This window comes from Homo sapiens, chromosome 12 (genome assembly GCF_000001405.40).
Source record: "Homo sapiens chromosome 12, GRCh38.p14 Primary Assembly".
Taxonomy (NCBI): domain Eukaryota; kingdom Metazoa; phylum Chordata; class Mammalia; order Primates; family Hominidae; genus Homo; species Homo sapiens.
Genome location: NC_000012.12, coordinates 76,756,852 through 76,779,316, shown reverse-complemented (window position 1 = coordinate 76,779,316; position 22,465 = coordinate 76,756,852). Strand labels below are relative to the sequence as shown.

General features: G+C 40.8%; 1 protein-coding gene and 1 pseudogene across 2 annotated transcripts in view, besides 6 other annotated features; both read right to left on the bottom strand.

Annotated features, from left to right (window-relative positions):
• ZDHHC17 (zDHHC palmitoyltransferase 17) overlaps positions 1-15,202 on the bottom strand; it is an 89,587-nt gene extending 74,385 nt beyond the window's left edge. The window contains exon 1 of one of the 2 annotated variants that reach the window (NM_015336.4): positions 14,988-15,202. In NM_015336.4, the coding sequence (NP_056151.2) occupies positions 14,988-15,080 (93 nt within the window). In that variant the 5' untranslated portion in view covers positions 15,081-15,202. The remainder of the gene's footprint in view (positions 1-14,987) is intronic. The other variant, NM_001359626.1, reaches the window with a different exon arrangement.
• Positions 14,196-15,038: an enhancer, noted in NCBI's record as "H3K27ac-H3K4me1 hESC enhancer chr12:77158059-77158901 (GRCh37/hg19 assembly coordinates)". NCBI's record gives its function as "activates a minimal SCP1, AML or CMV promoter by ChIP-STARR-seq in primed H9 embryonic stem cells {active_cell/tissue: H9 hESC(primed)}" and the evidence as "EXISTENCE:reporter gene assay evidence [ECO:0000049][PMID:30033119]".
• Positions 14,855-15,004: an enhancer, noted in NCBI's record as "active region_6680". NCBI's record gives its function as "activates an Ori minimal core promoter by ATAC-STARR-seq in GM12878 lymphoblastoid cells {active_cell/tissue: GM12878}" and the evidence as "EXISTENCE:reporter gene assay evidence [ECO:0000049][PMID:35858748]".
• Positions 15,014-15,308: an enhancer, noted in NCBI's record as "tiled region #20; HepG2 Activating non-DNase unmatched - State 1:Tss, and K562 Activating non-DNase unmatched - State 1:Tss". NCBI's record gives its function as "activates a minimal TATA promoter and a strong SV40 promoter by Sharpr-MPRA in HepG2 and K562 cells {active_cell/tissue: HepG2 | K562}" and the evidence as "EXISTENCE:reporter gene assay evidence [ECO:0000049][PMID:27701403]".
• Positions 15,014-15,464: a biological region, named in NCBI's record as "Sharpr-MPRA regulatory region 20".
• Positions 15,055-15,464: a silencer, noted in NCBI's record as "silent region_4672". NCBI's record gives its function as "represses an Ori minimal core promoter by ATAC-STARR-seq in GM12878 lymphoblastoid cells {active_cell/tissue: GM12878}" and the evidence as "EXISTENCE:reporter gene assay evidence [ECO:0000049][PMID:35858748]".
• Positions 15,605-15,704: an enhancer, noted in NCBI's record as "active region_6679". NCBI's record gives its function as "activates an Ori minimal core promoter by ATAC-STARR-seq in GM12878 lymphoblastoid cells {active_cell/tissue: GM12878}" and the evidence as "EXISTENCE:reporter gene assay evidence [ECO:0000049][PMID:35858748]".
• RWDD1P3 (RWD domain containing 1 pseudogene 3) lies at positions 21,224-22,203 on the bottom strand (annotated as a pseudogene).

Genomic DNA, 22,465 nt, shown 5'->3' with positions numbered 1-22,465 from the left:
GGGTATGTTTTTATTAGCAGCGTGAGAACAGACTAATACAAAGGTGGAAAAGACAAGCTACAGACTGGGAGAAAATAACTGCAAATCACAACAAAGTGACTAGTGCCTAAGATATATAAACAGCTCTCAAAACTTGACAGTAAAATAAATAATCAACTAGGAAATAGGCAAAAGACACAATTAGCAGCTGAAATGTATACCCCCGAAACTCATATGTTGAAGCTCTAACCCCTGTACCTCAGAACAGACTGTATTTGGAGCTAGGGTCTTTAAAGAGGTGATCAAATTAACATGAGGCCATTGGGTGGGCCCTAATCTAATGTGATTACTGTCCTTTTAAAAAGGAGAAAATTTGGATACATAAAGAGATCATGTGAGAATATGAGAATGCAGCCATCTGCAAGCTAAGCAGAGAGACCTCAGAAGAAACTTGATCTTGGACTTCTAGCCTCCAAAACTGGAGAAAAAAAATTTCCATTGTTTAAGTCACCCAGTTTGTAGCATTCTGTTATGGGAGCCCTGACAAAGTCATACAGACGTGAAGAGACACTTCACCAAACAAGACATACAAATGGCAAATATGCACATGAAAAGATATTTAACATCATCTGCCATTAGGGAAGTGCAAATTAACATGACAATGACTTATCACTTACCTATAAGACTGGGCTAAAATTAAAAAGTGTCAAAAATTTCTTTATTATGGTTGCTGACTCAGCATCCATTTTTAGATCTAACGTAAGTTATCTGAAACCCAGCTATAGCCCTCCATCTTGGCCTAGTTAAAACTTCCCGGCAGGGCACAGTGGCTCATGCCTGTAATCCCAGCACTCTGGGAGGCCGAGGCAGGCAGATCACCTGAGGTCATGAGTTTGAGACCAGCCTGGCCAACATATAGTGAAACCCCGTCTCTACTAAAAACTAAAAAAATTCGCTGGGTGTGGTGGTGCATGCCTGTAGTCCCAGCTACTTGGGAAGCTAAGGCAGGAGAGTAGAAGAATCGCTTGAACCCATCCAGGAGGCAGAGGTTGCAGTGAGCTGAAATCGTGCCCTTCTACTCGACCCTGGGTGGGAGCGAGACTCCATCTCAAAAAAACAAACAAAAAAAAACTTCCCTTGCCTGTGTGACTGTCTGCAATATAGACTTCTTCATCTCACTGACCAAAAACTCAATATTCCCCACAGCTGCTGACCACGATAAAAACCTAATGGTCAACACCAGAGTCATGTAAATAAGATCTCCCTTCAGGAGTGTTTGCTTTAAACTAGCCAATCCACAACCACCACAGGAAAGCCTACAGGGTAATGCCCATGTACCTTAAAAAAGGCATAGTCCCACTGATATCCCCTTTTCCCTCTCACTCTTTTTCTCTCTCCCCTCCCTCAGCTCCCCGCATCCTTCCTTAACCTTAACCTCTCTGGGCTCTACCAGTAAATCTCGTTTCATTCTGGTTTCACTTCCTCATGTGTCTCACCTGACACACACGCACAAACCTAACTCAGTTCCCCAATCCCTGCTAGGGCTCTCCTAGAGTGACGCTACTTGCCTTATGGCCCTCTCAAGATAGAGATCCCAAGACCAATTAGAAAGTAAATATAACAATAAAAATCACAACAAAGTGACAATACCAAATGCTGGTGAGGATGCAGCTCTCCCTCATCCTCACTCATATACTGCTGATTGGAATGTAAAATGTACAGTTACTCAGGAAAACAGCTTGTCAGTTTCTTACAAACATTAACATGCAACTACCATATGACCCAGTGATTGCACTCCCAGAAGAATCAAAATTTATGTTTACATGAATACTTGTACACAAATGTTTAAAGCAGTTTAATTTCTAATAACCAAAACCTGGAAACAACCCAGATAATCTTCAATGGGTGAATGGTTAACACATCACGGTACATCCATACTGTGGGATACTATTCAGTAACAAAAAGGAACAAGGTACTGATACACACAACAACCTGATGACTCTCCAGAGAATTATGCTGAATGAGAAAAGCCAATCCCATAAGGTTACATACTACATGATCCCACTTATGTAACATTCTTAAAATTACAAAATAATAGAAATGGAGAACAGGTTAGTGATTGCCAGGGGTTAAGGACAGGTTGGGAGCTGGAAGGAAGACCACATGGGTATAAAAGGGCAATATGAAGAATCCTTATGGGGAAGGAAGTGTGCTGTATCTTGACTGTACCAATGTTAATTTCCTGGTTGTGCTATTATATACTATCCTATCCTATCCTACAGTGTCCTATAATTTTGCAAGGTGTTACCACTGGGAGAATCAAGGTAAAGGATACATGAGATCTCTCCGTGTTATTTCTTACAACTGCATGTGAATCTACAACTATTTTAAAAAGTTCAAGAAAAGTTATCAACTTGAGCATTTAAAATGTGCACAATTTATCATAAAATATGCCTCAATAAAAAGTTACACAGTAAAAAAAATTTTCATACAAGTTTTTTTAAAAAACTGTCCAGAACAAAGCTGTCCAATTGAACTTTCTGTATATAGATTATTGACCTGTTCTATAATTCTGTGCTACCTAAAACAACAGCCACTAGCCACACATAGCTAATAAACACTTGAAATGTAACTTGTATAACTGAAAAACTGAATTTTAAATTTTATTCATTTTAATTAAATTTAAACTGCCACACATCAGTGGTGGTCACCATTGAACAATGCAGGTCCAGACACTACAAAGAATAGGGAAGATCGTTATGTGCTAAAATACAGCTATGTCCAAATTGTATTCAGAAAAATACAGATTTTATAACATAACATTTATGTAATAAAAACAAGGAAATAAATATACATGAACATGTATGTAAAATATATATTTAAATGTACAAGCATAGAAAATTCTGAGTGTACTTTAAAGTAGTATTTACCTGTGAGGAGTGAGAGAAGTTTGTGCTTGCTGGGGACAGGGAACTGTGGGACTTCACCATGAACTATATATCCTTCTGTACTACTTAAATTTTTTACAATAATCATGTGTCACCATTAAGGCTAAAAAAAACCCATGCTGAAACTTAAATTTCTGATACCTTTAAAATTTATACATTATTCAACAGTATAGAATAAATCGGATGTTAGGATAATAATGTTCAGAAAGTTTAAGTTTATATATGGTCTGCTATGCTAGAAGACTAGATTCTAGTTTGTCAAGAATTTTTTTTTTCCACCTGTACCCTTTTTTGGGACTTGATTACATCAATTATTCAATGGAAAAAGGACACAAATAAGGAAAAAAAGTTTAATGGGAATTTCTGAAATCAAGCTAATTAACCTCTCACAAACAGGTGGAAGATTCTGGCTATTTACATTATGAGTGGTCAAAGAGAAAGCAAAATTTCCAAAGAAAACACTGTCTAGAATTTATTCATGATTATATTTACAGAAATATAAATAAAGATTAATGAATATTTATAATTTCAGTGAAAGAACATAGGGAGGTAAAATTCTAGGGTTAAAAACAAGATTAACAATAGTGTACATGCTCTCTTAAAATCTTGGAACTGCAGAAAGAAAGTAAGTAAAGATTATAAAACAACAGCTAACTATTTGCCAGGTATTGTTCTAAATTTTACTTAGAGACAGAATTTCATAAAATCAAAAGATGCTATTGATTATAATATGCACCATTATTGTATGTACCACTAAGAAAGAAAATACTGCCAACTGAACTGAATGCTTTTTTATCACTTCAAATTTTTACTTCTACTAATTGAAGGATTATTTACACTAATTGAAAAATCTTTTACAGACTTACTTAGATTTTTAAAATATCACTCTTTAGGCTATATCAAATGGAGATAAACAAATCAGTTACTGTATTGCTAAAACTTGTTCATGCTCAAGGTTAGCCTCTTTGGAATCACTGTTCAACTTAGAGTTTCAATACCATGTTCTTCATCACAATATTGTTTATGAGCCACCAAGAACACTGAAATATAGCATTTCTTAAAAGAATGTCACTATTATCTCTAGGATTTCCTTCTCCAAGCCACTGACACACATTCCACAAGTTTTGATGATTTTCTTGATCTTACTGGAAGTTATCAACAGTTTTCAGAAAACAATCAGTAATCAAACTCCTTTCTAAAATGCTCTTTAAATGGATTGCTAATGAAATGGGGGCAGCAGGTGTACAATTGTGCTATCAGGAATAACCACAAAGAGGCCGGGCATGGTGGTCCCAGCACTTTGAGAGGCCAAGGCAGGTGAATCGCTTAAACCCAGGAGTTCAAGACCAGCCTGGCCAACATGGCGAAACCCACCTCTACTAAAAATATAAAAAAAATTAATCAGGCATGGTGGTGTGCACTTGCAGTCCCAGCTACAGTAAGATCCTGTCTCAAAAAAGAAACAGAAAAGGAATAATCACAAAGATGCCACATGCACAGGCACTGACAGTCACTATTGCAATTTCGCTAATGCAACAGACACCATTAACTATAAGTCACAAATCCCAATTTCAGAGATATTAAAATACATACAGGTTAAAATCTACAAAAGGTATATTAACTCATTTAATCTCATAAGGACCCTAAGAAGTAGGTGTTATTAACCCCACTTTCCAGATAATAAAACTGAGGTACCCAGAAGATTAAGTAATTTGCCCAAGATCATATGGTTACTAACTGCTGGATGAAGCATTTGAGGTACACTACCCTGAAATGTATTCCAAAAAAGCTCTACTAAGTAGAAGAATGTGGTCCAGTAACAAATCTTTAGAAGAGATTTACAGATAATACAAATGATAGTAGGACTCTTCAAAAATGTTTAAACTTGAGACACCTATAATTCAATCAGCACTGTCTGTCCTCTCATCAGCTCTGCCACAGATTTAATACTGAGACTACTCATCTCCATCCTTATCTACACCTAGGGTTATTTCAACAAGAGACACCCGCTTTCAAAGGATGTTGGGGGTGGGGGGGCGTGTGTGTGTGTGTGTGTATGTATATATATGTGTGTGTGTGTATATATATATATTTACACACATACACATACACATACACATACACACACATTCTTTATTTTGAGACAGGGTCTCACTCTGTCATCCAGGCCGAAGTGCAGTGGCATGATCTCGGCTCACTGCAGCCTCAACCTCCTGGGTTCAAGCAATCCTCCTGCCTCAGCCTCCTAAGTAGCTGGGACTACAGGCATGCATCACCACACCCAGCTAATTCTTTTATTTTTTTGTAGAGACAGGGATCCCACTGCTTCCCAGGCTGGTCTGGAATTGCTAGGCTCAAGCGATCCTCCCACCTCAGCCTCCCAAAGTGCTGGGATTTACAGGCACAAGCCACCGCACTCAGCCAGAAGTATATTTTACCTTATTAATGTATACTAAGCAAAAGAATAGACTGAATAAAAGAAAATTTCAAAGAGAAGGACTTTTATGGAAATGTAGTTTTATTATTTCAAGTAAAAAGGTTACTAAAAGAAGTGGCCTTAGAGCAACTGCTAAAAATGAATCCTCCCCTAGTTCCTTTAGTAACAAGGAAGAACTGATAGTTAACTCTAATAAAGTTTTTCTACTATATTGTAAAAAATAAGTAAAAAATAAATTGTATTTTGACCTATTCATGTATACAGCAAAGTACATATAAGGATTATGGGCTTGGGAGTCAGAGTTTAGGTTCTAATATAAACTATGCCAACTTTCTAATGATGTGAACCTGAGTAAACTACTTCACCTCTCTTGAATCTGTTTCCTAATCTGTAAACAGCTCAACATATACACTTTGCAGAACTACTGTGAAAAGTAAATGAACAAAACTTGGAAGCAATAAGACGTCCTTCAGTGGGTGAATGGATTTGATACACCCAGAAAATAAAATATTATTCAGCACTAAAAAGAAACGAGCTATGAAGCCATGAAAAGACATGGAGGAACTTTAAATGAATATTACTAAGTCAAAGAAGCCAATCCAAAAGGCAACATACTGCATGATTCCAACTATAAGATACTCTGGAAAAAACAAAACTAAAGAGACAGTAAAAAAAATCAGGGATTGGTGGGAAGGACATATGAACAGGCAGAACAAAGATTTTTAAGGCCATGGAACTATTCTACATGACAACATAATGGCGGACACACATTACTCTTACAAGTGTTAAGAACCTCGCCGGGTGCAGTGGCTGACACCTGTAAGCCCAGTACTTTGAGACGTCGAGGCAGACAGATCACCTGAGGTCAGGAGTTCAAGACCAGCCTGGCCAACATGGTGAAATCCCGTCTCTACTAAAAATACAAAAAATGAGCAGGGCGTGGTGGCACGTGCTTGTAGAGGTACTCGGGAGGGAGGCTGAGGCAGGAGAATTGCTTGAACCCAGGAGGCGAAGTTGCAGTGAGCCAAGAATCACGCCATTGCACTCCAGCCTGGGCAACAAGAGCAAAACTCCATCCCTCTCCCAAAGAAACAAAAACAAGCGTTAAGGCCGGGCGCGGTGGCTCACGCCTGTAATCCCAGCACTTTGGGAGGCCGAGGCGGGTGGATCACGAGGTCAGGAGATTGAGACCATCCTGGGTAACATAGTGAAACCCTGTCTCTACTAAAAAAAAAAAAAAAAATACAAAAGTTAGCTGGGCATGGTGGCACGTGCTTGTAATCCCAGCTACTCAGGAGGCTGAGGCAGAAGAACTGCTTGAACCTGGGAGGCAGAGGTTGTAGTGAGCTGAGATTGTATCACTGCACTCCAGCCTGGCGACAAAGCTAGACTCCGTCTCAAAAAAAAAAAAAAAAAACAAGTGTTAAGAACCATAGAATACACAACACGAAGAGTGAGCCCTAATGTAAACTATGGCCTTTGGGTGATAATGATGCATCAATGTAGGTTCATCTACCATAACAAGTGTACCACGCTAGTGTAGAATGTCCATACTGAGGGAGGTTATGCATGTGTACAGGCAGGGAGCATATGGGAACTCTTCGTACTTTCTGCTCAATTTTGCTACCAATATAAAACTGCTCTTAAAAAATTAAGTCTGTTCAAAAAATTCAAAAACAAAACACAAATGAGACCATTTGTAACCACAGCTAGCTAGTGCCTAGCAAATCCAACTCTATCATCTCTATCATACTGTATTGTGCTATAAAAACAGGCAACCTGGATTACTACTTAACCTCTCTATACCTCTGTTTCCTCATTTGTAAAATAGGTATAAAAAGCTGTGAGGATTAAATGAATGAATATACATGCAAAATTGTTTAGGATAGTGCCTAGCTCATACTTATAATTTGCTGGCATCTATGTCCCGGCTACATGGAAGAAAGAAGCTGGTCTGCATTTGGAGAAAATGAAGCTGAAAGGGAGAGAGGAGGAGAGATAAGAGAGTTTTGGTGGCATTCTCAGCTCAGGTTCCAGTTGTGTTTGATTTCAACTGCATCCTTGCATCCTGAGTTTAGGTTATCTGAGACAGTAAATTCCCCTTTTTGCCCAACTATGTTTCAGACAAGATTGTTGACATCTGCAACAAGAGGATCCTTACACAACAAGAAACTTCTGTCTTCAACTCAAAGAACTTTTTTTTTTTTCATGAGAATAGGGATAGTTTTGGTAACCACCAGTTTTGTTCATACCTCATTAAATCCTTCAAAAATTAATGAGTATTCATAATTGAAAAATTATTCTTAAAAACTAAACAAGGGTAGGGTATACTAACATCTCAATCAGAAGTAATTTTTCACTTCATTTTTTTCTAGAATACAACAACTGATAAAAATGCAAGCCATCTGACATATATACACAAAAAATGTCTCAGGTACTGTTAATGTTATAATCTTCATATCCCTAACAGTATCACCGATAATCAGAAAGATGATCCTAGGACACTATAATGTTCTAATTTATCAAAGAAAGATTCTATTATGTTTAGTATGTATTAACCCTAGAAAATAATTTGGCAAATTTGCAACAGGAATTGAAACAAAAACAAAAAAGTATTGTTTAATTCTCTGTAACTCAGGATACTAAGTTCACAGTATCTCATTCACAGAAGGCTGAAGTTTCACTGTACTTTCAAATTAGCTGCCTGTGGCTCCACTTTAAGAAAATTTTAAAAGAAGATATTTTATCCTAGGTCTAAATAATTATTCCACTGGGTCAAATTTTATGTATTTTATAAATATAATATTGTCTTGAATCATTATTTTTCAAATTCCAAAATTAAAATATTTGATTTTACTCTTAAATTATCCATCTGTAATAAAATCTATTCATAAAATAATACTATAATCAGATAATGCGCTGAAAGAGAATTTTACATAACCTTAATAGTGAAACATCTTTTCGGATTATGTAATTGTTGTGGGTTCTGTTAAAAGCAAACTGCATTTTTTTTTTTTTTTTTTTTTGAGATGGAGTTTTGCTCATTGCCCAGGCAGGATGGCACGATCTTAGCTCACAACCTCTGCCTCCCAGGTTCAAGCGATTCTCCTGCCTCAGCCTCCCGAGTAGCTGGGATTACAGGCATGCACCCCCATGCCCGGCTAATTTTTTATTTTTAGTAGAGACGGGGTTTCTCCATGTTGGTCAGGCTGGTCTCGAACTCCCGACCTCAGGAGATCTGCCAGCCTCAGCCTCCCAAAGTGCCGCAATTACAGGCGTAAGCCACCAAGCCCGGCCAGCACACTGCATTTTAAGACACCTTAACTGTTCAATGCTGACTACCTTAACATACCCTTACAACCCTCTCTAGGAGGAAAGGAGGACCACGAATCATTTCTAATTTTAAAAAATACACACAGACACACTCTCCCTCATCTATCCTGAGGTATCTGAAGGTCTACAGTTAATCTTACATCATTTTACAATGTGTTATTTTGTAAATGTTATTACTTCGGAGCCTAGCAAAGGGTCAAGACCATACTTGGATTCTCAATAAACACTCCCTTGTAGCAAAGCACACGTCTTTAAAAACATCAAATAGGGCAAAAGGGCTTATAATAAGAAGTCCTCTGCCCATCTTCTCTTCAATCCCCAGAGACAACCAATACTAATTATTTTAGCCACTCTAATATATGCATACTACAATTGTTTATCAATTTGAGGTACTACTTTTTACCACAATATTAATAGCCAACACTTATTGTTGTTTACTAAGTGCCAGACACAGAACTTCACATGTATTATCTCACTTAATCCTCACAACAGCCTCATAAAGTAGGTGTTATTATACCCCCATTTTAGTTTGGAAAATTGGGATGCAGAGTTCAATAACGTGCCCAGGATTGCAAGCTAGTGAGCAGAATTGAGATTTGAATCCTAACACCATTGCTCACTTTTAACCTATATACTCTTATATCCACCAACTCCACAGTCCACTCTTAATAAATACTTTTGAGATCCTCCCAAATTAAATAAAAATAATGAACAAAATAAAACAAGCCGAATCAGGAAAATGACATTTCTCAAAACCAGAACAATTTTTTGGTCAGTAATTTTCAACTCTGGCTTTGAGCACAATCCATGAAGTCTCACCAATTAATCACATTTTAATTTTATATCTATTGACTCAGTGATTACTAAGCTTAATAGTAATGCTCAGTGGTTACTGGGCTTAACAGTGGTCACTATACTAAGCATAGTAGTTACTAAGCTTAATATATAGTATTTTAAAATATACATTATTTTAAAATCTAGATTATTATTATATGACCTATAACATTTTTGCTGAATTTTTTAAAAGGCATCAAATCCTAGTGACTGCATAAAGAAGTGCTTTGAAGGAAAAGAGTTGCAGGTAACCTATGGGAAGAAAAACAACTTTCAAAGTCATTTTGTATCTGCTTTCTGAAAGCAAATGAATTACCTTATATGTGTACAAATACATATATATACACACACACATATAATATATACATAATAGGGCAAAAAGTAATAGAAAATGGCAAAATTCTTTTCACTAAAGAACAGCTTCATGGCCGAGCATGGTGGCTCATGCCTGTAACCCCAGCAGTTTGGGAGGCCGAGGCGGGTGGATCACCTGAGGTCAGGCGTTCCAGACCAGCCTGGCCAACATGGTGAAACCCCATCTCTACTAGAAATACAAAAAATTAGCCACGTGTGGTGGCAGGCACCTGTAATCCCAGCTACTCGGGAGGCTGATGCAGGAGAATCGCTTGAACGCAGGAGGCTGAGGTTGCAGTAAGCCGAGATCACGTCATTGCACTTCAGCCTGGGCAACAAGAGCGCAACTCCATCTCAAACTAAAGCAAAAAACCAAAAGCTTCAAAAAGTAGATTTTATGAAATCTGTGAGGACAGTAGATAATAGCAATAGTTTGATTTAATATTCAAACAGAAATCATCAGAAATAATAAAATGAATGTGAAATAAAAAACGTTACCATAAAAAGAGAGACGAAAATGAGAAAAAAAGGCAATAGCAGAAGTTTTGAAATAGAGAAAAAAGGAAGAAAGAAAGAGATGAAAGCCCTAGATAATCTAGGCAATCCAGTTCAAAGCTCTGAGTCAGATGGTTCTGAAATAGCCCCTGTGATACTGTGGCAGAAGGGGATATTGTGATCTCATTCTATCAAAGAGCTGAGATGACTTACTGAGGATGTACTAGTAGGTAAAATGGAAGCTGGTCATGGCTAGTCTGCTGGACCAGTAGACCAACATATGGTCTCTGTCCCTCTACGGAAGCCTTTCTTCTAACCACTCTAAATGACAGGAATCTGACACCACTTACAAGCTACATTACTTAATTCAGTACTTATTTGAATCGTCCAGTGTTTCACGTGCCTACAACTTCCCAACTAGTTATTTACCTTCTGGAAAACATATGCTATCTTTTTTATGTTATTTTAACCCATATAACCTAACACAATGCTACGTACCTAGTAGACAGATGCTCAAGTTGATTATATTGAAAAATCACAATTTAAAACCAGAACACTTGAGTCTGAAGAAATCTTAGAGGTCATCTAGTCTAGCTACTTTATCTTAAAAGCAACAAAACTGAGACCAGTTAAATACCTACTAGCTCAAGGTCACTGAGCTAGAACTAGTACCCTAATCCCTTGATCATCAGTTCTTCTTTATCCAAAGAGCCTTTAATTTCTTTCATTTCAATAAAACAAATAATCACCTATTTCAAAAGAAAACAAAGTAACAGCAGCTTCCCTTTCAGTATTCACTATATGCCAGGGCCTTCAGAAGGTACAATTTGCTTGGCAGCCTATGTGCCTAGGTCTATGAAAACTGCTTTATAAACATTAGCCTAGTTAATATTCACAATAACTGTAAAAGGTGTCACTATTAACCCAACTTTACAAATGAGAAAAATGTACTTTGACCATGATAACAGTAAGCTGCAGAAGCTACATTTTCAGTTTGTCACCACAGCTTTGGATTTTTTTTTTTTTTAAGAGAGTTTTGCTCTTGTTGCCCAGGCTGGAGTGCAATCTCGGCTCACTGCAACCTCCACCTCCCGGGTTCAAGCAATTCTCCTGCCTCAGCCTCCTGAGGAGCTGGGATTATAGGCATGTGCCACCACGCATGGCTAATTTTGTATTTTTAATAGAGACAAGGTTTCTCCATGTTGGTCAGGTTGGTCTTGAACTCCGAACCTCAGGTGATCCGCCCGCCTCGGCCTCCCTAAACCCTGGGATTACAGGCGTGAGCCACCACGCCCAGCCAACTTTGGCTCTTAACCAGTATTCTACACTGCCTCTCACTGAACACCAAAAATATCCTGAAGTCTCACACAGACTCCAGCACAATTCCTTACCCAAACATGACAAACAAATGTTTAAATGACCAACTAAATGAGTGGATGATTTAATTCATTAAAAAGTAAGATTATCTTACCTAAAATACCTCTAAAAAGGCGTTTATCTAATTGTATAATCCTCTAAGAAAGGTTTTAACAGTGGGCAGTTTGCATACTAATAAGAGATTTAAGCAATGCTCATTTCTTTACCCACAAATAATTCATCTGCTTAACAAATACTAAAGTGAAAAACTGTTTTTGTGTGAGAGTATTAAATTGGAAGATAAAAAGTGAAATGAAATTTGTTCCTGCAAGATCCTATTCCACTAAATTAAAACCCACATAAGTTTTAAATCAGTCACCAAAACCAAAATAAATGTGTAACACTTCCCTTTCTTCTGGTAGAGAAAAAAGAAGTAACATTAACTGAGCACCTACAATGTGCCAGTTCTTGACCCTCAACATATAGCCTCACTTAATCCCTTACAGCCAAGTAAACTAGGCAGCATCTCCATTTTCTTTTCTTTTCTTTTTTTTTTTTTTTTGAGACATAATCTTGCTCTGTCACCCAGGATGGAGTACAGCTGCTCGATCATGGCTCACTGCAGCCTCAACCTTCCAGGCTCAAGCAATCCTCCCACCTCAGCATCCGATTAGCTGGGACTACAGGCGTGTACCACCATGCTCAGCTAATTTTTGTATTTTCTGTAGACACAGAGTTTTGCCATGTTGCCCAGGATGGTCTCGAACTCCTGGGCTCAAGTGATTCTCTCACCTCGGCTTCCCAAAGTGCTGGGACTACAGGTGTGAGCCTCCGAGCCCAGCCAGGATCTCCATTTTCTGATTACAACTGAAGCTTAAAGAAATTAAGCACTTGTCTCAGGTCACTTAGCTAGTTACCGAATTTCCAGAATTAGAATCCAAGTCTGTCTGACCCAAAGTCTATGTTCTCTCCAAAAAGAGGTTAAAAGTACTATTATTTCATTACTTACCAAGACAGAGAATGGGTTTCTTCCCAAAGGAGACTGAAAACACTGCTTATTTTAACAACAAAAACATATTATCTCAGTTAATCCTCGCTATAGCTTATTAACTATTATTTTTATCCATTATAAATGATGAAACTAGAACTCAGAGACGTATTCATAGCTTGCCCAAGAACACACTGCTAGGAGGCAGCAGAACTACCCCAGGTCTGCACCAGCTGCACACACTAACCACAGAAAATGCAGAAAGACCTCAGCCATGTAGTACAAGCTTAAGGTCCATCCAAAGTATTAAAATAATCAGACCTTGTGCTTCTTGGGTAAAAAGGAACGGTATATATTATGTATGCCAATTCCCACTATCAATGATGAGGAGGTTGACTTTCTAGTAATATCCTATCTATCGAATGGCAACCTGAAGATCGGTAGCTAAATTTCAAGCCTATACTGGCCATTCTACTACACCAAATAATCTGGATTTGTTGCCAGTTAAAATTATTCTTAAAGTAGCAAACAACAGTACTATATTACAAAGCAAAGGTTTATGAAGAACAGTATGCTAAAATACGTAAGATAGGCCTGGCATGGTGGCTCATGCCTGTAATCCCAGCACTTTAAGTAGCTAAGGTGAGAGGACCACTTGAGTTCAAGAGTTCAAGACCAGCCTAGACAACATAGGGAGACCTCTTCTTCTACAAATAATAAAAAAATCAGCCGGGTATGGTGGCGCGAGCCTGTGGTCACAGCTACTCAGGAGGCTGAGGGGAGAGGATCACTTGAGCCCTGGAGGTAGAGGCTGCAGTGAGCTGTCATCGTGTCAGTGCACTCCTGCCTGGGGGACAGGGAGAAACCCCGTCTCAAAAAAATAAACTGGATAAACACTTAAGTGTTTGAAATACTTTCACGAATACTTTCACAGGAACAGATGAATAGAAATCACTTAGCAACATTTTCAAGGCAACATCTGAAAACTACTTTGTCTATTTCCTGACGTATGTTAGGGCCTAAGTGAACCAAAAGAGATGTCTACAATGCCAGTTCTGAAAATGTTACCACTTTGGTCAGACAAGTGTTTAGTCTTACTGTATAGTTCTGTTTATCAGAAACCCAGAGTAGCCTTTTCTACTGAGACTGGCACAGGTATATATTCCGAAGGAACTGTCCCATGTGTTTTTGATAAACCAAAGTGACGAATGAGAGGGTGGTTGAGTGTTAACATGCAACATAAAAGGATGGTTGTCATTATTCACTTTTTAACAAAAACTAGTGGCATGGTACAAACCCAAATCCAGAAAAAAACAGAATCACTCCATTGCAAAGTAACCAGGTAGAGACTTCCATGTTTGTTCATCCTACAACACGACTGTCATCTTTTAACCTCATGAAAACTACCCGAGTTCTTCAGCAAACTGTGCCGCTGCCGCATACAGACATCACTGTGGATCACTAAAAATCAGAATGCATCAAGAATTGCTTCCAAGCCTTAACTAGCACTAGCTCAGCTACAAACTCGGAGGTAAACAAGCACAGACTGACTGACTGTGGAGCGGGGCACTGTTTACTTACATGGGAAGACACTCATGTTGTGATGGGAAACGTGTTGCACTGTCCACCCCTAGCTCCTAGAAAAACGGTACTTTGACAAGCTAATGTGAGTGTAAGTCTATTCCCAAAAGTTTTTACCTCTCTTCTTAATCGCTTAAGGACAAATGCTCAAAAAAGGACGCCCGACACAAGGTGCCCGAGGTGCTACCCATGGCATTACCTGGAAGGACATCACTATGCCCATGAAACTGTCCCCTCACAGTGGACTAAAAGGAAGCAATAGATACCGTCATTCACCCTGGCGAAGGAAAAAGAAATCAAAACCAGACGCGCTTCCACCTGGCCCCAAGAGGCTTGGAGCAAGACTAGGGTCTAAGCTGCGGTTCAAAAACCACACCAGGCCCCTCCGCCTCTGCTCTCAAACGCAGCGCGGCGACACAGCAGAACCATCAACACCTCCACCTCTGTCCTCCAGGCACAGCCAGGGACTGCGTCCCAGAGCCCGCCCCGGTCGGGCCCGCCCCGCTATCTCCTCCCCCGTTATCCGCTCGCAGCCGCGCTCAGGCCTGGATTCGCCTCCCCACCCTCCCCAACTTCGGCACGTCCCACTACCCCACACACGTCGGCCGCCGCCCTCGGCGAGTCCGGGGAAGAAAGGCTGGAGGGCCGCAGGGCAAGGAATCCACTCAGCACGGTTCCTCACCTCTGGGTGGAGAAGGGGCACACAGCCCGCTTCGGTATCGTACTCATCCGGGCCGTCCGCCATCTTGGTGTTAAATCCCTCCTCCCGCTGCATGCTGGGAGAAAGCGTTTCACCCTCCCGGGGCTCGGGCGAGGCGGAGGGCGAGCGCGGGGCGAGCGCGAGCCCCGCCGGAGGCGACGCGGGCCTCCTCCTCCTTCTTCTCCTGCCCCCGTGACGCCCCCTCTGTCCCCTCCCCCCTCGGAGGGCGCGGGTTTCTCCGCGCGTGCGCGGAAGCGCGGCCCGGCCCCAGACTGGATCGCGCTCTGCTGCACTGCGCTGGGGACGGCGGAGGGCTCTGGGCGTGGGCCCCGCGGCTCGGGGGCGGGTCCCGGCTGGAGGTAGATGTGAAGCTCTGGCTGCCCGGGGGAGGCGGCCGGGCGGTTGAGACAGTCGCTTGGGAAACCTAGCAGCTGCTCAGGAGCGAGAACAGAGCTCCGGAGCCGCACGCAGCACAAGTCTGGAGCCCCAGGCAGCCGAGGAGCCCACGCCCACGCGCTCCCACTTCCGCTCCGGGACCCCCGGGACCCCTCTTCAGGAACTCGGGCAGAGTCGTCAGCCAGCTCCAGGGAGGTTTGGGCCCGTCAGGCTTGAGTCGAGACCTGCATCATTCCTGAAGACAAAAGCAGCTTCCCTTTCCTCCACACTTGAAAAGGTCACCCGCAACCTGTCCCTCCGGGGGACGCCCGGAAAAACATGGATACAACTCGGGACTTCCTACTAGAGAACCCTTTTTTTTTTTTTTTTTTTTTTTTTTTTTTTTTTAATGAGACAGAGTTTTGCTCTTGCCGCCCAGGCGGGAGTGCAATGGCGCGATCTCAGCTCACTGCAACCTCTGCCTCCCGGTTCAAGCGATTCTCCTGCCTCAGCCTCCCGAGTAGCTGGAATTACAGGTGCACGCCACCACGCCCGGCTAATTTTTGTATTTTTAGTAGAGACGGGTTTTCACCATGTTGGCCAGGCTAGTCTCGAACTCCTGACCTTAAGCGATCCGCCCGCCTCGGCCTCCCAAAGTGCTGGGATTACAGGCTTGAGTCACCACACCCTGCCGAGAACTCTTTTTAAAATGATCCCAACCTGCTCTCAATCGTCTTGAATTAGTACCACACAAAAAATTTACGAGCTCAAAGCCCACACACCGCCATCTGCAACATTTCGATATAATCCAGGAATTCAGAACTGAAGCCACTTAAACTGAATTCGCTTAAATGCAAGGCAGATAAAATGACTAAAGCCATTTTTTAAAGGATTTTAGGGCGGTATGGGGGAGGTGCTCCCTGTAAATGGGCTGATGGGACAGTTTTAGATAGCATTTGTCTTTCCTTTTAGCTGTTAAAAATTGTAAGTCTAAACAGCTGAGAATTTAGCAGAGATCATGAAAGTTGACCTATTAGAGATCCTGGTACTTACTAATCTGTCTCCTGTTAGGCCAGAAACCACCAGGAAAAAGCCTGTACTCCGATAACGTCAGGCCAATTTGTAAATCAGGAGGGAGGGCACTCCAAAGGAAGCTTGGAATGCCACTGGAAAAGGAAAGAGGAAGCCTCCTTTGTAAGATTAGTTTCCCGCCAAAGGAGTCTGAGGAGGGTCTAAGGAGAGCCAGAATCAGTTCTGCATGGGACGCCGTTTCCGTGGCGGCATGAAGAAAAGCTGGGATTTACGAGGGATTGGATGCTGTCTTGAGGATACAGCAATTTAGTAATTAGGTACCTCCAGTAATAAAGTAGCAACACTAGTAAGAGCAGCAGTTACTCAAAGAGGGGTGAATATGGCGTGTCATAGCTACTGCACGGCTGTGGGAGAAAGAAGTTTCTCAGTTAACTTTGCTGCTGGCTTTTTCTGTATCTGTCCTCCCAGCACAACTACTTTTTCTCATTTCAGTCCGAGCTGATTTTCATTCTGTTCGTCCTGGCCCAAACTAGGAGTCATCTTTTACAGCTAGATAGTCTCAGGGTCGGCCCTTGGAGCATCGAATTGTTTTCAGTCATATGTTAACATGGACATAAGTCATTTTCACTCAAAAATCTCAATTTTTTTTTTTTTTTTGAGACTGAGTTTCACTCATGCCCAGGCTGGAGTGCAATGGCTCGATCTCGGCTCACTGCAACCACCACCTCCCAGGTTCAAGCGATTCTCCTGCCTCAGCCTCCCAAGTAGCTGGGATTACAGACATGCGCCACCATGCCCGGCTAATTTTGTATTTTTAGTAGAGACAGGGTTTCTCCATGTTGGTCAGGATGGTCTGGAACTGCCGGCCTCAGGTGATCCACCCGCGTCTGCCTCCTAAATTGCTAGGATTACAGGCGTGAGCCACCGCACCCAGCCAAAAATCTCAATTTTTTTTTTTTTTTTTTTTTTGAGACGGAGTCTTTCTTGCTCTGCGGCCCAGGCTGGAGTGCAGTGGCGAGATCTCAGGTCACTGCAACCTCTGCCTCCCAGATTCAAGCGATTCTCCTGCCTCAGCCTCCTGAGTAGCTGGGATTAAGGGCGCGCCACCATGCCCTGCTAATTTTTGTATTTTTAGTAGGGATGGGGTTTCACCATGTTGGTCAGGCTGGTCTCGAACTCCTGACCTCGTGATCCACCCACCTCGGCCTCCCAAAATCTTGGGATTACAGGCGTGAGCCACTGCGCCCGGCCAAAAATCTCAATTTTGAATCTTGCCCTTCCTTACCTTTATGTCTTGCATTGACTAGAAATAGAAGATTAGAGTAAATAAAGGACACCGACTGAAAAAGTTAAGTGGCATAAATATTAATAAAGCATTGAATGAAGTGAGAGTGTAAAGAAACTAGGCATGGAAAACTGGAGAAAATGTTTCAGGTACCCATGTATTAGGAATATTGGTACAGGTATATGATGTGGAGTATTCATAAAAGAAATGTTTAGCCTTCCCTGCGAAAATCAGTAAATCAGAGTTCACTTTAAAATCTAGAGTTCTAGTTCATCTGGCAAACAAGCCATCTTGACCTTCTTGCTCAGTCTCTACCAGGTCTATGGCCTGCTTTACTCGTTCTCATTACCTGCCTGGCTCTGTGGATATTTTTACTCCTGAGAATTCCACAATTCAAATATAAGGAAAATACTAAAAGCAGCCGAAAAGTTGGAACAACATAACCAGGGTCCATGTCTGTCTTGCTTACTGCTGGAGCACTAAAATAAATAGTTATTAAATGAAGAACTGAAGAAAGAGATCAAGAGCAGAAGCAGGCATGCTTAGGAAAACATGTTGAAGTTGAATCTTGAAGCAAACCCTTTAGATATGATCAGAGTCCATCTTGATAACTGTAGAGTTCTTATCTATAGCTCAAATTGAGAAAATATATTCAGGGGACTAAGGAGACAGCTAAGAAAGTACACTGATTGGATAGACTGGCAAAAGAATGGCATAGAATTATGGAGGAATGCAGAATAGTGGCTAAAAAAGAATAAAATTCAAAGAGAAAAATAGACCTTGTTAGAGAATAATTGTGAAATGGATTTAGAAGCAAACAGATTGGAAGGCATGGGGCATTGTTGTATAAATATAGTTTCATATGTAACTTCAGACACTACTGGAGCTAAAGACAGCATAGAGATTATCCAGATTTAGTCATTTCACAAAAAAGGAAATGATGGGGAATTTAAGAAACTCTCTTAAAGTTACAAAACTAGGTGGTAGCAGAATCATCTGGAAGCCTCCTGAATTTTCCCCATCTACTACTCTTTGCCTCTACCACGTTTCTTCTGTTGTTATTATCCTCAATGAATTATTACTTGGTCCATTTAATTTTTTTTATTGTGGGCCGGGCACGGTGGCTCACGCCTGTAATCCCAGCACTTTGGGAGGCCGAGGCGGGTGGATCACGAGGTCAGGAGATCGAGACCATCCTAGCTAACACGGTGAAACCCCATGTCTACTAAAAATACAAAAAATTAGCCGGGCATGGTGGCTGGCGCCTGTAGTCCCAGCTACTCGGGAGGCTGAGGCAGGAGAACGGCGTGAACCCGGGAGCGGCATGTGCAGTGAGCTGAGATCACGCCACTGCATTCCAGCCTGGGCGACAGAGCAAGACTCTGTCTTAAAAAAAAAAAAAAAAAAAAAAAAAAGGTTTTTTTGTGGTGAGAACACCTGACGCAAGATCTCTCTTAAATTTCTTTTTTTTTTTTTTTTTGAGACGGAGTCTTGCTCTGTCGCCCAGGCTAAAGTGCAGTGGTGCGACCTCGGCTCACTGCCAGCTCCGTCTCCCAGGTTCACGCCATTCTCCTGCCTCAGCCTCCCGAGTAGCTGGGACTACAGGCGCCCGCCACCACACCCGGCTAATTTTTTGTATTTTTAGTAGAGACAGGGTTTCACCGTTACCCAGGATGGTCTCGATCTCCTGACCTCGTGATCCACCCGCCTCGGCCTCCCAAAGTGCTGGGATTACAGGCGTGAGCCACGGTGCCCGGCCGATCTCTCTTAAATTTTTAAGTGCACAATAGGGTATTGTTAACCATAGGCACAATGGTGTACAGCAGATTTCTAGACCTTATTCGTCTTATATAACTGAAACTTTATACCCATTGAACAGCACCTCCCCATATCCTTCTACCTTTGGCCCTGGCAACCACCATTCTACTGTTTCTATCAGTTTGACTATTTTAGATACTTCACCTTTGGCCTTCAGTGAGTGGCTTATTTCACTTAGCATAATGTCCTCTGGGTTCATCCATGTTGTCACATATGGCAGAATTTCCTTCTTTTTAAAGGCTGAATAATATCCCATTGTATGTATATACCACACTTTATCCATTCATCCATCAATAGACATTTGGGTTGTTTCCATATCTTGGCTATTGTGATAATGCTGCAATGAACATGAGAGTGTGTTTTATGTCTTTGAGATCCCAATTTCAATTCTTTTGAATATATAAGCGGAAGTGAATTGCTGGATCATACGGTAGGTCTATTTTTAATTTTTTGAAGACCCATCATACCATTTTCCATAGCTGCTGAACCATTTTACATTACAGTGTACAAGGGTTCCAGTTTTTCCACATGCTTGCTAACACTTATGTTTTGTGTTTTTTTTTTCATAGTAGCCATCCTAGTAGGTGTGAAGTGATATCTCACTGTAGTTTTGATTTGCATTTCCGTGATGATTAGTGATGTTGAGCATCTTTTCATATACCTGGTCATCTGTATTTCTTCTTTGGAGAAATTTTTACTTAAGTCTTTTGTCCATTTTTTAATTGGATTTTCTGGGGGTTTTTGCTCTCCAGTTGTAGGAGTTCATTGAATCATTTGGATATTAATCCCTTATCGTATATATGATTTATAAATATTTTCTCCCATTCTGTAGGTTGCCTCCTCACTTTGCTGACTGTTTCCTTTGCTGTGCAGAAGCTTTTTAGTTCAATTTAATTCTGCTTGTCTAATTTTGCTTCTGTTGCTTGTGCTTTTTCTGTAATATCCAAGAAATTGTTGCCAAGCCCAATGTCATGCAATTTTCACCTATGTTTTCTTCTAAGTGTTTTACAGTTTTACAGTTCTATATTTTACATTTCAGTCATTAATCTATTTAAAGCTGACTTTTTTGTATGGTGCAAGATAAGGGTCCAATTTCATCCTTTTTGCATATGGATATCCACTTTTCCCAGCACCATCTGTTGAATAAAATGTCCTTTCCCCTTTGTGTATTCTTAGCATCCTTATCAAAGACCAGTTGACAGTATATGTGTGGGTTTATTTGGAGGCTCTTTATTCTGTTCCATTGGCCTGTATGTCTGTTTTTATGCCAGTTCCATACTGTTTTAATTACTTTAGGTTTGAGATATATTTTAAAATCAGGAAGTGTGATGCTTCTGTGTTCTTTCTCAGGAGTGTTTCGTTTATTCAGGGTCTTTTGTGGTCCCATATGAATTTCAGGATTTTTTTTTCTATTTCTATATAAAACACCACTGAATAGGGGTTGCATTGAATCTATAGATCACTTACAGTAGGATAGACACTTTTTAAATATTAATTCTTCCAATCCATGAACACAGGATGTCTTTCCATTTGTGTTTTCTTTCATTTCTTTCATCAGTGGTTTGTAGTTTTCAGCATACAAGCCTTTTGCCTCCTTGGTTAAATTTATTCCTGAGTATTTTATTCTTTTTGATGCTACTATAAATGGGATTGTTTTCTTAATTTTTCTTTTCAAATAGTTCATTGTTAGTGTGTACAAACAAAACTGATTTTTTTTTTTTAATTTTAAGGTCAGTTTTTTAAGTTCAATGATGAAAACTATCAGAAGAATATTATCCTGAAAATAATTTTTTCTTAGAAAAAAAGAAAGGAAAATCAAAACCCTCTGAGCATAGCCACAGATGCTGTGGCAGTCAAGCCTCTCTGCAGATGGGGATGTCCATTAGTCAGCTGAGTCACTGTCTGGGTCAGGAGGATTGTAGTCTGGATCATCCTCATCATCCTCCAGCTCCAAGTCATCCATTTATTGGAACAAAGACTCATCTACCTCCACGTTGTTTCCAGCATGCTCCAAGAACTGGATATCAGATGTGTCAAGATTATGATCTGTTTCAAATAGTTGTTTCCAACTTAATTTATTTTTTCCTGCTGTTCTTCTTCTTTCATCCTTTTCTTTTTAATTTCCAAGAATTCTTCATCAAACTTGGCCTTCCGATTTAAGAAATTCTCTATTGTAATTGGAGTGCCATGGAATAATTGCTTTTCAGCCTCTTCTGCTTCTTTTTCTTGTTGTTTCTTTTCTTCTCTTCTAGTTTTTATCTGATCTACTATTTCATTTAATTTTTCTTGCACAGCTGTCACTAGAGTAAAGATCATCACCATACCAAGATTTTCTTCAGCCTGTAATGCTAGTAATTTTAAAATGTCTGAGACATCATTATCTTCTAGATTTTCTGGAGGGAATATTTCATAAAGGAGAACTTCACCTGGGTATTTTTCACTGTATGTAAACGTGAGGGTAGTCTGGACAGTTTCATCATTTTCTCCAGCCTCAGATGTCACAGTAATGGTGAAGCCGGGTGGATTTTATGATAATACTATGAAGGAGTTAGGGTAGATGGACTCCTGGGCCTCTAGCTCTTGCATTGCTCCTCGTCATGGTCTGTCATCGTGGCCCTTGCTGCTGCCCATGGATCACCCAGACACCTAGGCGGCACACAGCAGCCGAGACAGCGGCCGCGTCAGTAGAGTGTGGGGCAGCCAGACAACTGATTTTTGTATGTTGATTTTTCATCCTACAACTTTATTGTATTCATTCCCCCAAATGCCCCCTCCCCTCCGAGACGGAGTTTCGCTCTTGTTGCCCAGGCTGGAGTGCAATGGCGCGATCTCGGCTCACTGCAACCTCCGCCTCCCGGGTTCAAGTGATTCTCCTGCCTCAGCCTCAGCCTCCCTGAGTAGCTGGGATTACAGGCGCATGTCACCATGCCTAGCTAATTTTTGTATTTTT